The sequence below is a fragment of the Homo sapiens genome, chromosome 21 (assembly GCF_000001405.40).
Source record: "Homo sapiens chromosome 21, GRCh38.p14 Primary Assembly".
NCBI lineage: Eukaryota > Metazoa > Chordata > Mammalia > Primates > Hominidae > Homo > Homo sapiens.
Genome location: NC_000021.9, coordinates 42,742,721 through 42,760,149, shown reverse-complemented (window position 1 = coordinate 42,760,149; position 17,429 = coordinate 42,742,721). Strand labels below are relative to the sequence as shown.

The 17,429-nt window shown below is 53.4% G+C and overlaps 1 protein-coding gene across 24 annotated transcripts in view, besides 1 other annotated feature; it reads right to left on the bottom strand.

Annotated features, from left to right (window-relative positions):
• PDE9A (phosphodiesterase 9A) overlaps positions 1-17,429 on the bottom strand; it is a 121,889-nt gene that overhangs the window by 15,360 nt on the left and 89,100 nt on the right. For 22 of the 24 annotated variants that reach the window (NM_001315533.2, NM_001001570.2, NM_002606.3 and 19 more), the window contains 4 exons: positions 16,290-16,374; positions 8,953-9,034; positions 6,086-6,160; positions 1,065-1,151 (listed from right to left, as the gene is read on the bottom strand). In NM_001315533.2, coding sequence (NP_001302462.1) covers positions 1,065-1,151; positions 6,086-6,160; positions 8,953-9,034; positions 16,290-16,374 — 329 coding nt within the window. The remainder of the gene's footprint in view (positions 1-1,064; positions 1,152-6,085; positions 6,161-8,952; positions 9,035-16,289; positions 16,375-17,429) is intronic. The other 2 variants (NM_001001576.2, NM_001001580.2) reach the window with 1 other exon arrangement.
• Positions 2,882-3,381: an enhancer, noted in NCBI's record as "H3K4me1 hESC enhancer chr21:44176879-44177378 (GRCh37/hg19 assembly coordinates)". NCBI's record gives its function as "activates a minimal SCP1, AML or CMV promoter by ChIP-STARR-seq in primed H9 embryonic stem cells {active_cell/tissue: H9 hESC(primed)}" and the evidence as "EXISTENCE:reporter gene assay evidence [ECO:0000049][PMID:30033119]".

Below are 17,429 nucleotides of genomic sequence, written 5' to 3'. Positions count from 1 at the left end.
AGAACGTCCAGCGGGCCACACCACGGCACCCGGGGCAGGTGTGGGGACAGAGCTCCCACCAGGGGTTTCACCCTGCAGTCAAGGACTGGGGTCTCCCCGGAGGTGTCTGAGGAGCCACAGTGGGGCATAAAGTTAGGGGATGGGGGGAGGGGAGACTCCAAGAGGGAGCTCTGGGTCCCCAGTCACCATGAAACCTTTAATAGGCTTTTAATATTTGGTTCTGAGCAATATTTCATTAAAAAAACCTGCTGCCAAACATATTCACACAGGCAGACACCCACATGCACACACCCACTCACACACCACACACTCACACACCCCACATCCACACACACACATGCACACATCCACCCTCACACACCCCCACATCCAGATACACACATGCACACACACCTCACATCCACAGATACACACATGCACACACACCCTCACACACACCCACACACAGACACACCCCACATCCAGATATACACATGCACACATCCACACTGACACACACAGACACACCTCCACACTCCTACTCCCACCCCACACACTCCCACCACACATTCACACACACCCACCCGTAAACTCAGATACCCCCATGCTCACACCCACACCCCACACTCACACACACACACGCTCCCACACATTTACATCCACACACCCACTCACAAACACATGCAGACACCCCCATGCTCACATCCACACCCCACACTCACACACACTCACATCCACACCCCCATACTCACTCTCACACACACACACGCTCCCACACACACACACACGCTCCCACACACCGCTGCTTTAGGACATGCTGCTTTGCTTGATGATGGCAGAGTCTCACTGATAAGCTACTCCTTGCTTATCAGAGCAGGAGTAGCTCGGGCGTAAAGAAGGTTTTGGTGGAAGGAGGAACAGAGACAGGCTGAGTGTCCTCACAGAACTCCCGGGGAAATGTCACCTCTGCTCACAGGGAGCGCAGTGCCATCCGGAAGGTGCCCTGGTGATCCATTCCCTCCATTCCTGTGGAACTGGATGAAACCACGTGCCCAGGAAGAACCGAAGGCGGGTTTGGCACTCACCAGCCACCTCCTGAGGGTGACAGGGTTGATGCTGAAGTCCCTGACCAGCCCGAGGTCGTGGTACATGTGCTCCAGGCAGCTCAGCATCTGTGGGCACAGGAGAAGGATAGGCACTGGGCAGTTGTGTGGCCGGCTCCCCAGCCCCTGGCTTCCTTCCCTCTGCTGTCCTCGGAGTGCCAGCAGGGCCGTTGGCAGGAGGTGGGTTCTCCCCCTCCCAGAAAGTCCCTGGAGAGCAAAGCCTGGTCGGCAGACATGGGAAGAGAGGTCTTCAGACCAGCCTTTCCAGGCCACTCAGATGGGTGGGGGTTTGAGAGCACACTGGGGGTCTCCTGGCAGGTGGATCCTGGGGCGTGGAGGGCCAGTTCCGAAGTCAAGGAGAATTCTTAGGACAGCGACCGGGTGAGAGAGTGCACCCGTTCACAAAACACTGCACCAAAAAGGAATTTATTGATTTCTACAGATGAAAAACAATCTCAGCGGATCAATATCACAGCTGAGGGGTCTAGGACACAGTTCCATCCAGTGCACACCTGAGCACAGGTGGCATCACAGAGAGAAAGGCCCTTTCCTTGCCCGAGGCTGGGGATCGAAGGAGCTTTGACGATTTACATCCAGAAACGCTGAACTGTGTTCATCTGCGGCCCCCTGGGACCGAAGACACTTTAACATCTTAACTGCAGTGCCCAGATGCGGCCCCTGCCCCAGCAAGCGGCTCCTCCTAACCCTTTTTCATGGAGCCCTGTCTTCTATCAATATCCCTGTTCAAGTTGAAATAGATTTTGTTTTCAGTCCCAAAGAGGATTGTCATTGTGGTGATCTATTTCAATACAGCTCAGTGCTTTGGAGCTAATTAAGTTAGGGAGGAAAAGATGAAGTGATTTTTAAAAATGAGAGTTTGACCAAAGTAGGCTTTGCTTTCTGGAAAAAGCAGGTCTTGGGTGGCGAGCCCAGTGCGAAGGAAGATGTGTAGGAAAGGGGCAGTTTAGACACACCTGGTAGGTGTCCTCCACCCAGGGCCCACCTCCAGCCCAGCTGCCTGCTGCCTGTACAGGGCACTGGGCCATCCCTGCTGGAGCCCGGCGTGGCTTCCTGCCTGTGTCTGCTCATTGCCTGACTTTCTCCTCCCAAAAGGGCATGTTACGAACTGAACTGCCCCCTTCCCCAGGTCAACATGGTAAAGCCCCGACCCCAGTGGGGCTATTTGGAGACGGGGCCTTTACGGAGGTAATGAAGTTTCCATCTAGTCAGGGTGAGGCCTTGGTCCCATGGGACTAGTGTCTTCATTAGAGGAGGAAGAGCACCTGGGATGCATGTGCCGAGAGAACAGGCCACATGAGGACCCAGCAAGAAGGCGGCCATCTTGCTGGCCAGGAAGAAGGTCCCACACCAGGGACCGAGGTCCCAGCAAGAAGGTCCCACACCAGGGACCGAGGCCCCAGCAAGAAGGTCCCAGACCAGGGACCGAGGCCTCCGGAGAAGCCGAACCTGGCAGCACCTTGATCCTGGACTTCCAGCTCCAGAACTGAGGAATCAACTTTTGCTGCTGACGCCACCCCAGTCTCTGGTACTTTGTTATGGCAGCCTCAGCAAACTAGGACAGGCGTGCTGCCCAAAAATCCATTTTTACTTGTTACGCTGTGTGTGAAACCTGGAAATGCTGCAAGGGAGGCGAGTTTTTGTAAATCGAAGCTTGCGATCACTGCATTGATGAGATGGCTCTGAAGGAGGCGGAGGGTTCTCTGGCATGGCAGAAAATCTATCTGGAAAACTGGAAACTCCCCCACTTGCGGCCACAGATGGGAGCTTGGAATGTCACCTGGGAAACGTCCTTAAAGCACGTGAACCACACACTCGTTTTCCTTGGGGAGACAGTACAGATGTAGGTTGGATAATGTGCAGGGCACTGCACTGGCTTTTGGAGATGGGGCCCCACGTGAGGACAGGAGGGCTGGCTCCCAGGCCACTGGTCAGCTGCCACCTGGATCACCCAGCCAGGGGCCTCGCTGCCCAGAGCTGCTGGACCCCCACCATCCTGGACGCCAGCCCTCAGGACCATAGGGGCTGCAACCTGGAAACTCCTCGCTCTCCACCTGACCAGCCCAGATGTTGTTCAAGGCAGTCCTGAAAGGCAGATGCGTCTGCTGTGAAGCCAAGAGGGGATGCTGATCGGCAGACAGAGACACTTGGTGCCATTTATGTGGCCTTCATAGAGGCTGTGGGGCAGGAGGGCCGGATGCATCTGTGGCTGCACGTGCAGTCCTCAGCCCCGGGCGGGCACGAGGGAGCCAGCAGTTCCCGCATGTGGCGGCAGGTCGTGGTCTGAGTGGGCTGCATGGTCGTGAGTGGGGGACTCATGAGATGACGGGGGAGGCTCCTGCAGCCTTCCAGCTCTGCACTTGATAGAGGCGGGCCATGCTCACGGGCCACAGCCCTGGGCCCTCGGAGGATAGAGGCAGGCCACGCTCACGGGCCACAGCCCTGGGCCCTCGGAGGATAGAGGCAGGCCACGCTCACGGGCCACAGCCCTGGGCCCTCGGAGGCCCTAACACATGGGAGGACACAGCAGCCTGAAGTCATGTCCTCTGTCTGGTTTGTGATGGGCAGGACACTGGGCCAAACCACTCGGAGAAAAGTGGGGGCGCCCCTGCTGGAAGGGAGGGAGGTGATCACTTTTAGGCGCCCTGACGTTCTCTGAGTGCCAGGTGCCTCATGCGTGGCCAGATGCAGTTTTGTGGGGCCGAGTGGGCTGTTTTCATGTGTGTCCCTTTAGTTGTCCCTCTTTGCCACTCACACTCCAAAATTCCTGGCATCCCTAGATCTGCCAGAGGCCAAGGCTCCTGTCTTGGGCATCTCTGCATTCTCACACACAGGCAGCTAGATACTTCTTGGAAGCACTGGAACCCTCATCGGTCTCCTGGAGTGCCCTTGAGATCTGCTGGGCAGGAGCCACGGGCCGTGGGAGATGCCACCCAGAGGCTGAGTCCAGCTGCCGGGAGCTGTCTGCCTTGCCCACCTGCCAGCCCCGAGAGCAGCTGTGAATCCACTCTGTGATCAGAGGACAGAGAGGTGGCCTTTCTATTATGGAGACACAGATCCCCCAGCTTCGTGGGGCAAGCCCCACCTCCCCAGTCACAGTGGCCCGTGCTCAAAGGGTTCCCTGGTAGAAGGTGGCAGAAAAGACAGCGAGTGCCAGTTTCCACGCAGGTGCTTTGCCATCAGTGGCCCCTGGCTTGGCTCTTCCTCCCAGCAGGCTGAGGTCAAAATGACTTTGGGGATGGTGATTTTTCTACATGATGCTGAGGTGCGGCGGTTGCCCACAGGCTGGGAGCAGGAGTCAGTGTGCTCTAACTGTCTGCGGTGTCTACTTGCTGTGTACTTGCTCTGCCCAATCTCAGCAGCTGTGCAGGGACCCTGGGAGCTGCTGCAGGCCAGCAGCTCCAACACGTCTCTTCTGAGCTTTCCCTCTCACCCCTTGCATCTCCCACACCTGGGGCCCTTTCCTTTTGTGCGTTGACCTAGACAGTCATTCTGCATATTTAAAGCCTCTTCTGTCGTCTCTGCGCCCCGGTCCTGCACTCTCAGAGCTGGGGAGCAAGTTGCCACGTGGCGGCTGGAGGTTTTGAGCAGGTTTGCAGCAGTGCAGCCCCTGGGACTGGCCGCCTGCTGCTCTTGGGTGAACTGAGCTGGGGAGTGGAGGCTGGAGCTTTGCTTTTCTGGCTGGTGCTGCAGTTTTTCTCCTGCTGGGAGACCATGCACATGAAAAGAGGTTCACTTAGGAGAGGGCAGTGCCCCAGGTGTCAGCAGCCTGGCCTCAGGGGTGCCAAGAGGCAAGAGCCCACTTTCTGCCCTTTGCAGAGACATCGCTGCGGCCGAGCTTGTCAAAGAGCACAGGTGAGCTTGCTGAGGAGCCTTGTGCATTTTCTGTGTTGCTGACAAGCAGGAAAACGTCCTTAGATTTTGGTGCGTTGAAAACAGCTGAGGCCGAGGTCTGCAATGAGGGAACTTTTTCATTTTTTGGGGTGTGAAAAGAGGGGGTCTATTAGCCAATGAGATGAAACAAAAAATTCCCCATTCTTGTATTTTTCAGCAAATAGGAATTTTAACACCTTTTTTTTGTAGCGACGAGGTCTTGCTATGTTGCCCAGCTTATTAGTCTGTTCTCACACTGTTAATAAAGACATACCTGAGACTGGGTAACTTATAAAGAAAAAGAGTCTTAAGGGACTCACAGTTCCACATGGCTGCGGAGGCCTCACAATCATGGAGAATGGCAGAGAAGGAGAAAGTCACTTAAATGGCGGCAGGCAAAAGACAATCCCCCATTTATAAAACCATCAGATCTCGTGAGACTTACTCACTATCACGAGAACAGTATGGGGAAAACTGCCCCCATGATTCAAGATCTCCACCTGGCCCTGCCCTTGACACGTGGGGATTATGACAATTCAGGGTGAGATTTGGGTGGGGACACAGCCAAATCATATCACTCAGGCTAGTGTGGAATTCCTGGCCTCAAGCCTTGCTGCAGAAGGTGACACAGTTCCCGGAATCCCACATGTCCACTTATCTGGGGCAGCCGGTTGCCTGTGCCTTGCCTTTGCAGACACTGCTCTCAGAGCAGAGCACTCTGACCGCAGCCCCTTCCTTGAGGAGAGATTTGCTCCTGGCAGGGGTGTTCTGCAGCACGGGGCTGCCACCGGCGTGCATGAGGGTCTGCAGGATGAGCAGATGGCTCGGGGGGCCCAGCGCCATCAGGAGCCCTGGGTGGAGCCTCCCTGCCCCTGACAGCCGTCTCCCCCACTCACAGAATCCCCTTGCTGTGAAGTCTCCTGGGCCCTGCTATAAAGTGTTAGTTAGTTTCAACTAAAACCTGGCAAAACAAGTTTTGTTTTTTTTTTTCAGTCTTTAAAAAGAAGAGGAAAAAGCAAGAAGGAGGAAGAGCGATGGGGGTGGTCCCACTGGCGTCCAAGATCCTGAGCTGCCTCCCCCTGGGACGTGGTGCCTGCAAGCCCCGCACTTACCTCATTGGGCTCCCAAAGCCAGACGTCAAAGGTCGGCTTCCGCAGGGCCTCGATGGTCTCTGGAGAGAGCAGGTACTAGAAAGGACAGGAGTTCCGTGTTAACCAGGCGCCGTGGGCCTGTGACAGTGATGTGCATGCTGAGATATTTCTCCTCTTTCTCCCGTTCTCTTTCTTTTTCTTTCTTTCTTTTTTTTTTTTTTTTTGAGATAGAGTCTCACTCTTGCCCACGCTGGAGTGCAGTGGTGCGATCTTGGCTCACGGCAACCTCTGCCTCCTGGGTTCAAGTGATTCTCGTGCCTCAGCCTCCTGAGTAGCTGGGACTGCAGGCGCCCGCCACCATGCCTGGCTAATTTTTGTAATTTTAGTAGAGATGGGGAGTTCACGATGTTGGCCAGGCTGGTCTCGAACTCCTGACCTCAGGTGATCCACCCGCCTTGGCCTCCCCAAGTGTTGGGATTACAGGTGTGAGCCACCGCACCCAGCTTCTCCCGTTCTCTTTCTAAGGCACCTGCGTCAGACTCACAGGCCACATACTTCTGGAAAGGGCCAATGCTACGGGTGGAGATCCCATCGGTGGATGCCAGAGGCAGGGTGAGGGAGCAGAGGGGAGGGTTTGGGGTGACAGAAATGTTCCATATCTCGCTTGTGGTGGAGGTCACAGGACTAAACAAGTTTGTCAAAATTCACTGTACTCCAAGCCTAAATAACTTTACTGCATGTAAATTAGACCTCAACAAGCCCGATGATAAAATGGACAATAGCTGGGCATGGTGGCTCATGCTTGTAATCCCAGTGCTTTGGGAAGCCGAGGCGAGCGGATCACCTGAGGTCAGGAGTTCAAGACCAACCTGGCAAACATGGTGGAATCCCGACTCTACAAAAATACAAAAATTAGCCAGGCATGATGGCAGGTGCCTGTAATCCCAGCTACTTGGGAGCCTGAGGTGGGAGAATTGCTTGAACCCAGGAGGGGGAGGTTGCAGTGAGCCAAGATCGTGCCACTGCACACCAGCCTGGGCGACAGAGTGAGACTCCATCTCAAAAATAATAATAAAAAAAGGGCAATAAAGTGAAGTGTGGGGGTAAAATTCACTTGGCATAAATTCAGATACCACCTAAGAAGTTATTCTGAGATGCTCCTGTCTGGAACCCATTCCTGGTTTCTGCCGAGAGCTAGAAGAGCAGGCCTGCTGATGGGGCCGGTGCCCCTGGGTTGCTTCTGAGGACATCAGGCTTTAGGTTAAGCTGTCACAAGGACAGAAGGCTGTGGTTCTATACAGAAGACAAGAACACTGCTTTGGTATTGCACACTGTCTTCTCCTAGGTCTTACTGGATATTTGTTTTTCTGTTTTTTGTAAGGGGACAGATCTGGAGGGCTGACACCTTTTATTTTGGATCTAGGCTGTGCTTCACGGCTCCCTGGGACAGGATCCTGAGAAGCGCGGGGCATATTTTCCAATGGAAAAAGGCACTAGTCTCCATTCAAAAATCTCAGATGAGGCTGGGCTGGCTTACGCCTGTAATCCCAGCACTTTGGGATGCTGAGGTGGGTGGATCACCTGAGGTCAGGAGTTCAAGACCAACCTGGCCAACACGGTGAAACACCGTCTCTACTAAAAATACAGTAATTAGCCGGGCATGGCGGTGGGTGCCTGTAATCCCACCTACTCAGGCTGAGGCAGGAGAATCACTTGAACCCAAGAGGCAGAGGTTGCAGTGAGCTGAGATCATGCCATTGCACTCCAGCCTGGGTGACAGAGTGAGACTCAGTATCAAAAGAAAAAAACAAAAACCCCCCAAATCCACCCAGAACCTGACAATATCCAGGACATTGTTTGGAACTGCGTGGATAGAATCACGGACTAATGGACACCAGTGGCCTACATGGAGGCTGTGGAAGGCTCTGCCATCACTTGAACCGCAGGCAGTGGCAGAGCCCACCTGTGTTTAGCCCAGGCCTCTGCTGTCTCTGGAAGCTGTGCCCCCTGAATCTTAGCATGAGAGCACATTACAAATCAGGTGGGCCGGGCCGGGTGCGGTGGCTCAGCACTTTGGGAGGCCGAGGCAGGCGGATCACCTGAGGTCACAAGTTCAAGACCAGCCTGGCCAACATGGTGAAACCCTGTCTCTACTAAAAAAATACAAAAAAATTAACTGGGCATGGTGACGGGCACCTGTAATGCCCCCTACTTGGGAGGCTGAGGTAGGAGAATTGCTTGAACCCAGGAGGCAGAGGTTGCAGTGAGCCAAGATTGTGCCATTGCACTCCAGCCTGGGCAACAAGAGTGAAACACTGTCTCAAAAAAAAAAAAAAAAAAAGCAGGTGGGCCGGGATTTTGCCTGCTTCCCAGCTGAAGGCGTTGAGCGGGTGACCGGCAACTCGAGACCCTCCTTTTGTCGTTATTTCAAAAATGCCATTGCTACTTCACCAACGTCACAGCTTCTCTTAGAACTAAGAACACTTTTGTGCAAAAGAGCAAAACTTGCCAGGACAACTAAGAATTGCTCAGAGACAAGGGCCAATGGAATGGATTTTTAAAAATTCAGTTAAACGTTAAAGTTCTTTCCAGTAACGTTTGAGTGTAAAAACTGTCTACCCAGGTCAGCTCCCGGGGCCGGGCAGACAGCAGCACGGAGCTGTTATGTCCTTGCAGGGGAAGGTATGGTCTGGGATCACTTTTGCTAAACAAATGTCAAAGAGAAAAAATACTTTGCCTTAAAGTAACCCGCACCGTCAGCGGCCCAGGGCTGGGAGGGGCGGTTGATGTGAACGTACACACAGCAGGGTCTGGCCGCAGGGCCACAGGGCTGGGCGTGGGGCTGGGGACACAGCTGCAGCTTCTTCTGGGCCGGAATCTCATCTTACCTTGGGGTAAGTGGGAACATCGCGTCGAGGAGTCAACTTCTTGTGGTTATCCAAAAAACTGTACTTACAGGGGCAGTTGGTCCTAGAGAGAAGGAGCAGAGATGAGCTGTGGTCCTGCTGTTTCAGTCTGGTGAAGCCCTCAGCACAGCAAAAGCAAGCGACAAACCCAACCCCCAAGCCCCGTGTGGTCTTATTTGCTGTGGGAGAGGAGTCAGGGCAGCAGCAACTCACTCGAAGCAAAATCCCTGATGACCTGTCTGACCTCTGACCTCACACTAGACTCTTGGAAAACACACAGAAAGTCAGATGTTGGGGCTGGGCGTGGTGGCTCATGCCTGCAATCCCAGCACTTTGGGAAGTCGAGGCGGGATGATCATGAGGTCAGGAGATCGAGACCATCCTGGCCAACATGGTGAAACCTCATCTCTATTAAAAAAATAATAATAATACAAAAATTAGCTGGGCGTGGTGGCGTGTGCCTGTAGTCCCAGCTACTCGGGAGGCTAAGGCAGGAGAATCGCTTGAACCCAGGAGGCGGAGGTTGCAGTGAGCAGAGATTGTGCCACTGCACGCCAGCCTGGCCAGTCTGGGCAACAAGAGCGAAACTCCATCTCAAAAAAAAAAGAAAAAAAAGTCAGATGTTGAGGGCTATCTTCTCTTTTAGAAGCTGTTTTCAAAAGAAAAACATTCTAAAAAATCTAAACAACACAAGAGTAAAGTAAAAAAAAAAACACCAAAATATGAAAACCGAAGTCCTCACTTTACCCATTTATTTCCCTAAATCCCATACTCTGGAAATCACTTCTAATAGTTTGGTGTATCTTTCCAGAATGTTTTGAAGTGTGGACACACATGGGTGGCCGCTTTTACCTTTTAACAATATTTTAATTTTTATTTTTTGTAGAGATAGGGTCTTGCTATGTTACCCAGGCTGGTCTTGAACTCCTAGGTTCAAACGATCCTTCTGCCTCAGCCTCCCAAAGTATTGGGATGACAGGTGTGAGTCACTGCACCCCGCCCCTTTGTACTTTTTAAAATTTTTATTTATTTATTTATTTTTGAGACAGAGTCTCACTCTGTTGCCCAGGCTGGAGTGCAGTGGCGCAATCTTTGCTCACCGCAACCTCTGCCTCCTGGGTTTAAGCAATTCTCGTGCTTCAGCCTCCTGAGTAGCTGGGATTACAGGTGCATGCTGCCACACCTGACTAATTTTTGTACTTTTAGTAGAGACGGGGTTTCACCATGTTGGCCAGGCTGGTCGTGAACTCCTGACTTCAAGCGATCCACCTGCCTTGGCCTCCCAAAGTGTTGGGATTACAGGCGTGAGCCACTGCGCCCAGCCCCTTTGTACTTTTAAACAAAGATGGAATTGCACCAAAGTCAGTCTGCTGCAACCTGCTTTGTCATCTAACATATCATGAACTCATCCCAAGTTGCTCCACAGAGCTTAGCTTCATTTTCCAAGTTTCTCCAGGGTGTGGCCATAGCACACGTTAGCAATCCAGTCCCCAGTGATGGACTTTTAGAATGTTTCCAACTTTCCCTGTTACATGTAATGTTAGCAGATGAGTTTTCTGTCTGACTCTGTTTTTGTTTAGCACTTGGTATCGAGGTATCCCACATAGGAGCAGGGCAAAGTGAGCCAGGCATGTTTCAGAGGAAAGCCACCTTCCGGTTGGGCAGTGTGCTGGCTTCAGGGTGGTCCCCAGAGGCTGAATGAGGAGCAGCTGCCCCAGGAGGTCTGGCTGCTCTTGGGCCCCTGCAGCAGAGTGCACCAGGGGGCTGGGCCGATCTGGGTTCACACCCTATGGGTGTGAACTTGCTTGGAAGTGAACAGGCTCCCTGTGTACTTGGACGATGGTGGGTGGGGGTCACGCCTGGCTTGTGTGACATTCACCAGGCTATGGGGGCACTCAGGGAGCTAAATGCAGCAGAAGCTCCTGCGATTTGTAAATAAAGCCCCTTCTTCTGGGAGAGCAAGTTAATACTGCCCAGTAAGAGCCATATAGAAATTCGTATCCTTTAAGCCCACATATCTATCCTGGGGAATTTATCTTAAGCCAAGAATTAAACAGGAACAAACAGCTCTATGCACACAGATATTCACCGTGGTGTGATCTGCTGTAACAAAAACACAAAACCGACTAGAAGCCACCTGAATGTCCCAAGACGGGAAGCGGTTTAAACCAGCACAGTGCCTCCGCATGATGGACTATTATGCCATTAGGAGGATCATCACGGATATTATGCCAAGTGAGGAAACTTGACATGAAAAGGGAAAATAAGAATGCTATGCACAGTATGTACTGAAAGCAAGTGCCAAAAAATGCCACGCTACGAGGAAGAAAGAGCACATTCGGTAGGTTTAAAAAGAGTGCTTGATTGTGGCCTTCTGGGAAAATCTATGAGCTGTACGCTGGTTAAAATTTAATCTATTTATTGCTCACAATGCCACTAGTAAAAAAAAAGACTACACAACGCATGTTTTAGTTGTTTTTCAAAACAAGGTATCTATGCACAGAAAAACATCTAGAAGGCCTCGTGTCCAGGTTTAAACTGGGGGGACATTGCCGGCTGTTGTCATGATCGGTGTGCACCCTTCAGCTCCCATCAGTGTAGTTTGGAGGTTTTCCAATGAGCCTGTGCTATTTTCAAAACTAGAATAATCAATCTATTTCCTTTCTGGAAAAAGAGGCTTCGGTGTTATTTTCTCGGCATGCTGCCGTCTCTTCCCCGTGATAACCACCGCTCCACGGAGATCCATTTGGTAGCCCTTCCCTCTGTTTCATGCTTGCAAAACCCATCAGAGTTGCTACCACAGTTTGATGTGTAAGGGGGAACGCTAACAGATTCAGCAAAGTATTAACAAAACCAACCAACAAAATGCACCAATCAAATGATTTCCATTGTCATCCATTAAACGAGAAATTCCATTTACACATTTCTGAGAAGTAACGAACGTTTTCTGCGTAGTTAAAAAAAATAGATGGCATGATGATGATTTCTTCGCTGCTTTTAACCTGTTTTGTGTAAACATTCGCACATGTGCTGTCTCTGTAAGTCTCCTGCATTCCCCAGGAGGGTTATGGAAATCTTCACCGAGCAAGACAGTTTGACTGTTCGAATCCCGCTGTTTCCTTGCAGATACCAGAGCTGGGAGCAGAGGAGGGTCTGCTGGGGCCCGCTGACCCTGCCTGGCCAGGCAGCCCCTCTCTCTGCGCTCCGCTGCCACGGGAACCAGCGTCTTCAGCAAACAGAGCAGCTGGCATGGAGCTCTTTCTTTTCATCCTATTTGGAGCTTATCTTTGCTTTCATTTCCTGGGGTCCCCATCCCCCTTCTCTGGGGCTTAGGCCAGTGGGCAAGGCCATTTGTTTGGGATGAACGCTGAGCCCTCAGTTGCCACCCCAGGCTCCTGCAGACTCCCCAGCTCTGGGTGAACCCCATATTCCATGCTCTGCTCTCTGCCTGGCACAGTGCTGGGGGCCAGAGTGGCCGTGGCCCCTGGGGTAGACCTGCCCCTGCCCCTGCCCTAAATGTAAGCTGGCAGTTGGACCTCTGTCCTCTTTGAGGGAAAAGCAGGAGAAACCTAGCCCGTGAGTGTCAGGGGACGGCCACCTGCTCCCGGGTGCTGTGTGCCGGACCCCGATGCCACTGCTGTTCCCAAGGGGCAGCTTCTGGTGGATCCATACCCCTGGCTCCGAGGCCCCACCAGGGTGTGCTATGTGGGCTGAATGTAGCTCCACATTTCAGGCTCACACTGGCCATTTGTGTGGCACGGGGCTGAGCTAGCTCCACCCTGTCTGGGGCCTTTATTCTCTTCCCAGAGGCAAGAACGCTGGCCTCTGGCTGGGCTGCCATCTCGGGAAGGCCCCCCACCCCCACCCTGCCTTTTGCAGCTCCTCTCCCCAGTCATCCGGGGAAGTTCCAGCTTAACTGAGACTGGTCCCAGGGTCCCCACATTGCTACAGGGCTCTCATGAGTAAGATGTAACTCTGCTGTTGACAAAGACAAAAGGGACAACACGAATATCTCAGTGTCTCTATTCTGAGTTCCTTTCTACATAGAAAAACAGGAAGGGGTTTCATGTGTGGCAACGCCGGCCTGGGGCACATGACGCGGCTGGGGATGAGACCAGAGCCCAGGAGGCTGGATTTGTTTTTTCTCAATGTGTCGACAACGCTTGAGAATTTTTACCCTGTTCCGTTTTGGAAGCAAGAGTCCCATTTACCTGTCTCTCACCTACAGGGGAGGCTGCCAGAGCTGTCAGCCGAGAACGTCGCCTCCAGAAGCTGACGGGGCACCAGGAAGTCTCCTTGTCTTTGGTTTATGGCGCTGTGGGTTCTAAAAATGTACTCCTGGGGGAAGTGCGGATGCGCCTCCGTTACTCAGATGGGCCCAGGTGCCCCCCACAGCCCGGCGTGCCTGACAGGCACCTGGGGGCTGATGTCTCACTGGAGTTCCTGGCGGCTTCCTCTGCAAGCTCTGAAATCGGTGTTATCCTCCCACGTGGTGTGTTATGGGCTGAAGTACATCTCCCCCCAAAAGTTGTATGTTGAAGTCCTAACCCTGCTGCCTCTGAGGGTGACCTCATTTGGGGACATGACTGTTGCAGATGTAGTTAAGGGGATGTCATCCTGGAGGAGGGTGACCCCTACTCCAATAGGATGGGTGTCCTTACAAAAAGGGGGAATTTGGACAGAACGGATGGGAGCACCAGGTGAAGAAGCAGGCAGAGAATGCCGCCGGCAGCCACCAGAGGCCAAGAGAGACCGGGAAGGTCCCTCCCCTGGGGCCTTCAGAGGTGGCAGGGCCTGCTGGCACCTTGATTTTGGACTTGTGGCCTCCAGAACTATGTGGGAATACATTTCTATTGTTTTAAGCTGCCCAGTTTATGAGAATTCGTTACGCAGCCCCAGGAAATGACTACAACTTCGATAAAAATAATCTTCCCCCCTGCAACCTCAACCTGACCTGCAGGACTAGTGCACACCAGAAACCACGCCAGGAGCGGCGTGTGATCCGAGCACTCGCCTTGCTTTCTACAGAGCGGGTGCCCATCAGGCACGGCAGAGGCAAGACCTGTGAGGCCGGAGGCTGTCTCACCACTCACTCCTGCTGCTGTAGGTGGGCGGTAAATGCAGTCGTTTAAGGGATAAGAGGCTGCATCCTACAAACACCTCCAGAAAGTGCTCAGGGACACACAGTTGTGGGTGAGGAGCTGGGGGCAGCTTCGGGAGGCATGGCCTGGCTCCAGACACACCCCTTGGGGCGGTGGAGTTCCCCAACCCATATGGGGCCCAGAGGCCGCTGTTCAGGGAGTCTGGTTTCAGGCTGAAGACTAGAACTCAGTTTTTGTCCTCTTCCCCTCGTGCTGCTGGTGGGGCTGGAAAGGCTGGCCCTGCTACACCCGCAGCCCCAGCTTGAGGCCACCCATCTCCGCCTGGCTCTGGGCAGAGGGGAACCCTGCCAGGCAGCACCACCCTGGAACACCACCCTCCTGCCAAAGCAGCCATGGCACCTGGGGCGCAAGGGACAGCCAGAGGGCTGAACCAAGCCACGTAGAGCCCACGGCCAAGGGCGGTGCCACAGGTGAAGGTGCTGTGTGTCTGAGGCTGCCAAGCCGGGTCCCAGCCTTGCCAGGTCCCAGCCTTGGGACCCCAGCTGTGTGGCCGTCCCTGTGCAACTTGGGAGCTCTTCCTTGGCTCACAAATGAGAGACTCTGTCTCCCGTCCTTTAAAGAGCCTCCAGCACAGGGATGACGAAGATGGATTGTTCACTCACAACTTTCCATGGCCACAAACTATGGCCTGACTTCCCCTAAGTCAATTGGGCTGAGACATCCCTAACTCCAAATGAGCCCATGAGTGCATGGGACAGACACGTGGCACGGTCCCTGTAGGACAGGCTCTCACGTGGCTCAGACAAGGCCTGCTTCCTTCCGCTCGGCCTTCCTCCCTGCGCCCACCCCGAGGCCAGGCCCCCGGGGCTTTGAGGGGACCAGATGAGGCCCGTCGGCTTTCCCTTCACCTTCTGCCTCTGAGACCCTTTCACTTGCCACGCTTCCTCAATAAGCAGATTGCCCTCAATTTCAAAATCAGGGAATGATCGTCAGCATGCCAGGTGGCTCTGAGACAACTCAGTGCAATTGCACAGGGCTGTTTCTCAGTCCATTAGTCCCCATTAAATCCCACTGAGGCCGGGCAGTGGCACTCTGGGGAACCATGAGCCACATCATATGCCTGTGGTGTCTGGGCTGGCACCAGCGGGCATGGAGGCAAAGCCCGGAGGTGTGAGCAGGTCCTGTGTGCCCCTCACTAAGCACAGCGCCCGCACACAGTAAGTGCCTCAATGCATGCGCTCTGCTCATCATCACCGCCGTCTCTTTGCTACTACCGGCATTTCCATCCCCAGTTTGGTCGTGGTTCATCCACACGTGTCCTGACCCTGGCTCCAGTAAAGAGTCCTGCTGTACACAAAACTGACTTTGGAGGTGGCATCGTGGAGACTGGGGCATTTTCCCCACGAGTCACAGCTCACTGGGCCCCCCGAAGCGCCTGTGAAGGATGCCTGTTCCCAGGAGAATGACTTCTGTGTCCCCAGTGCTGAAGCCCTCGCTGGAATGCAACCCAGTGGGAACATCACACAAGGAACCGGGTCCCTGGGGGCAACAGGAGGCTCCTCCCCTAATGCTTTTCCTCTTCTTGTTCTGTCTTTAAAAGTGGATATCAACTTATTCCAAGCTGGACACATTGCTCCTAAGGCTTGGATCTGCAGGAGGAGGACTCTTCTTCTGTGAAATCGTCTTCCCAGCCCCTATCTCCAATATGTGCTCTTTTTTTCTTGAGACAGAGTCTTGCTCTGTCGAGCCCAGGCTGGAGTGCAGTGGCGCGATCTCGGCTCACTGCAACCTCCACCTCCTGGGTTCAAGCGATTCTCCCGCCTCAGCTTCCCAAGTAGCTGGGGTTACAGGCATGTGCCACCATGCCTGGCTACCGTTTGTATTTTTAGTAGAGACGGGGTTTCACCATGTTGGCCAAGCCGGTATTGAACTCCTGTCCTCAGGTGATCCTCCCACCTCGGCCTCCCAAAGTGCTGGGATTACAGGCGTGAGCCACCACACCCGGCCCATGCGTGCTCTTTTGTTAGAAGAAAGTCACACCACTGACAAGCAGGTCGCAAGCAGGGTGGCTGCCTCCAGACTGCACTCTCCCAAGCCTGAACTGTACCGAACTGCACCAGCCTTTCTTTTAGGCAAACAAAGCCCACAGCCCCAGCCCAACTGGTACGGGGAGCCCTCCCCAGGCCCGGCCGCCCGTGGCCCCAGCGCAGACCCTACCTGCTGCTTCTGGCCGCCAGCTCCTCCCTCATCTTCTTAATGTCACTCTTGCATTTCTCAATCTCCACCACTTTTAGTCCTTCCACTGGTGACAGAGAGAGAGACAGCAAGGGGGTTACCACGGACGAATGTGGAGGATCTCTCAAGGCTGGTAACTAAGGGCTCCCTGTGGCTCCCAGGGAGGAATATACCTCAGTGCAGAGGTCCCCACACCTGCCCTGGCTGCCGATACTCAGGTTTTGCCTGCACTTCCGCGCTTAGCTCAGCCACAACTGACTCTATCCTCGCAGGCATGTGCCGTGGCCACCGCTGCACTACCGCATCCATCCGGGCAGTTTTCAGAAGGCAGAAGCTCCTCCCCACTCTCCACTCCCTGAATCTCAACTCTGGCACCCACTTTTTGCTCCATACCCCTAAGCACCAGCTGAGGACATGGGACAAAGGCGTCTTTTATCCCAAAAAGAAAAGGGGGCACATGTGGTGCCAGAGCATTAAAATGCAGTGAACGGCAAAGCGTTTTCAGCAAGGATTACGATCTCATTATGGGAAAAGCTTTTCATTGGAACGTCCTTCCAGAGCAGTTTCACCAGGAGAAAGTGTTGACTTAAAACAGAAGAGAAATAAATAGGCAAAGTTGAGGATCAGCAGAACTTGGACTTGATCACATTCCTGGAGTTGAAACTGCCTTGGCCAAATTATGACTGAGACAGTGAAAGAGATCTAACTTAGCGGGCTCCATCTTGCTTCGAACCTCCAAGCTGTCTGTGTTCATTCCTTGGCTGAACTAACTTTGGGAGAAACTTCATTTGTAGTTTATAGTTTAGACAAAGACTGTAACAGCCCTTTCCCAAAGCAGACCTGCTTCTTGCCTGGGGACGAGACTAACAGCCACAGGATTAGAAATTACAGTTTAAGAGTCACGCAGCTGGAGACTACGAGATTCTGACCCTCCCTAAATTGCTCCTAAGATCAGCGCTTGAGATATTTTGGAGACCCTGCAGTTGATGGATCAGCTGGCACCACCCAGATAGATAAACTGGCTCGTCTGGTCTTCTGGCCCCAGTCAGGAACTGACTCAGTGCAAGAAGACAGCTGCAGCCAGGCACAGTGGCTCACGCCTGTAATCCCAGCACTTTGGGA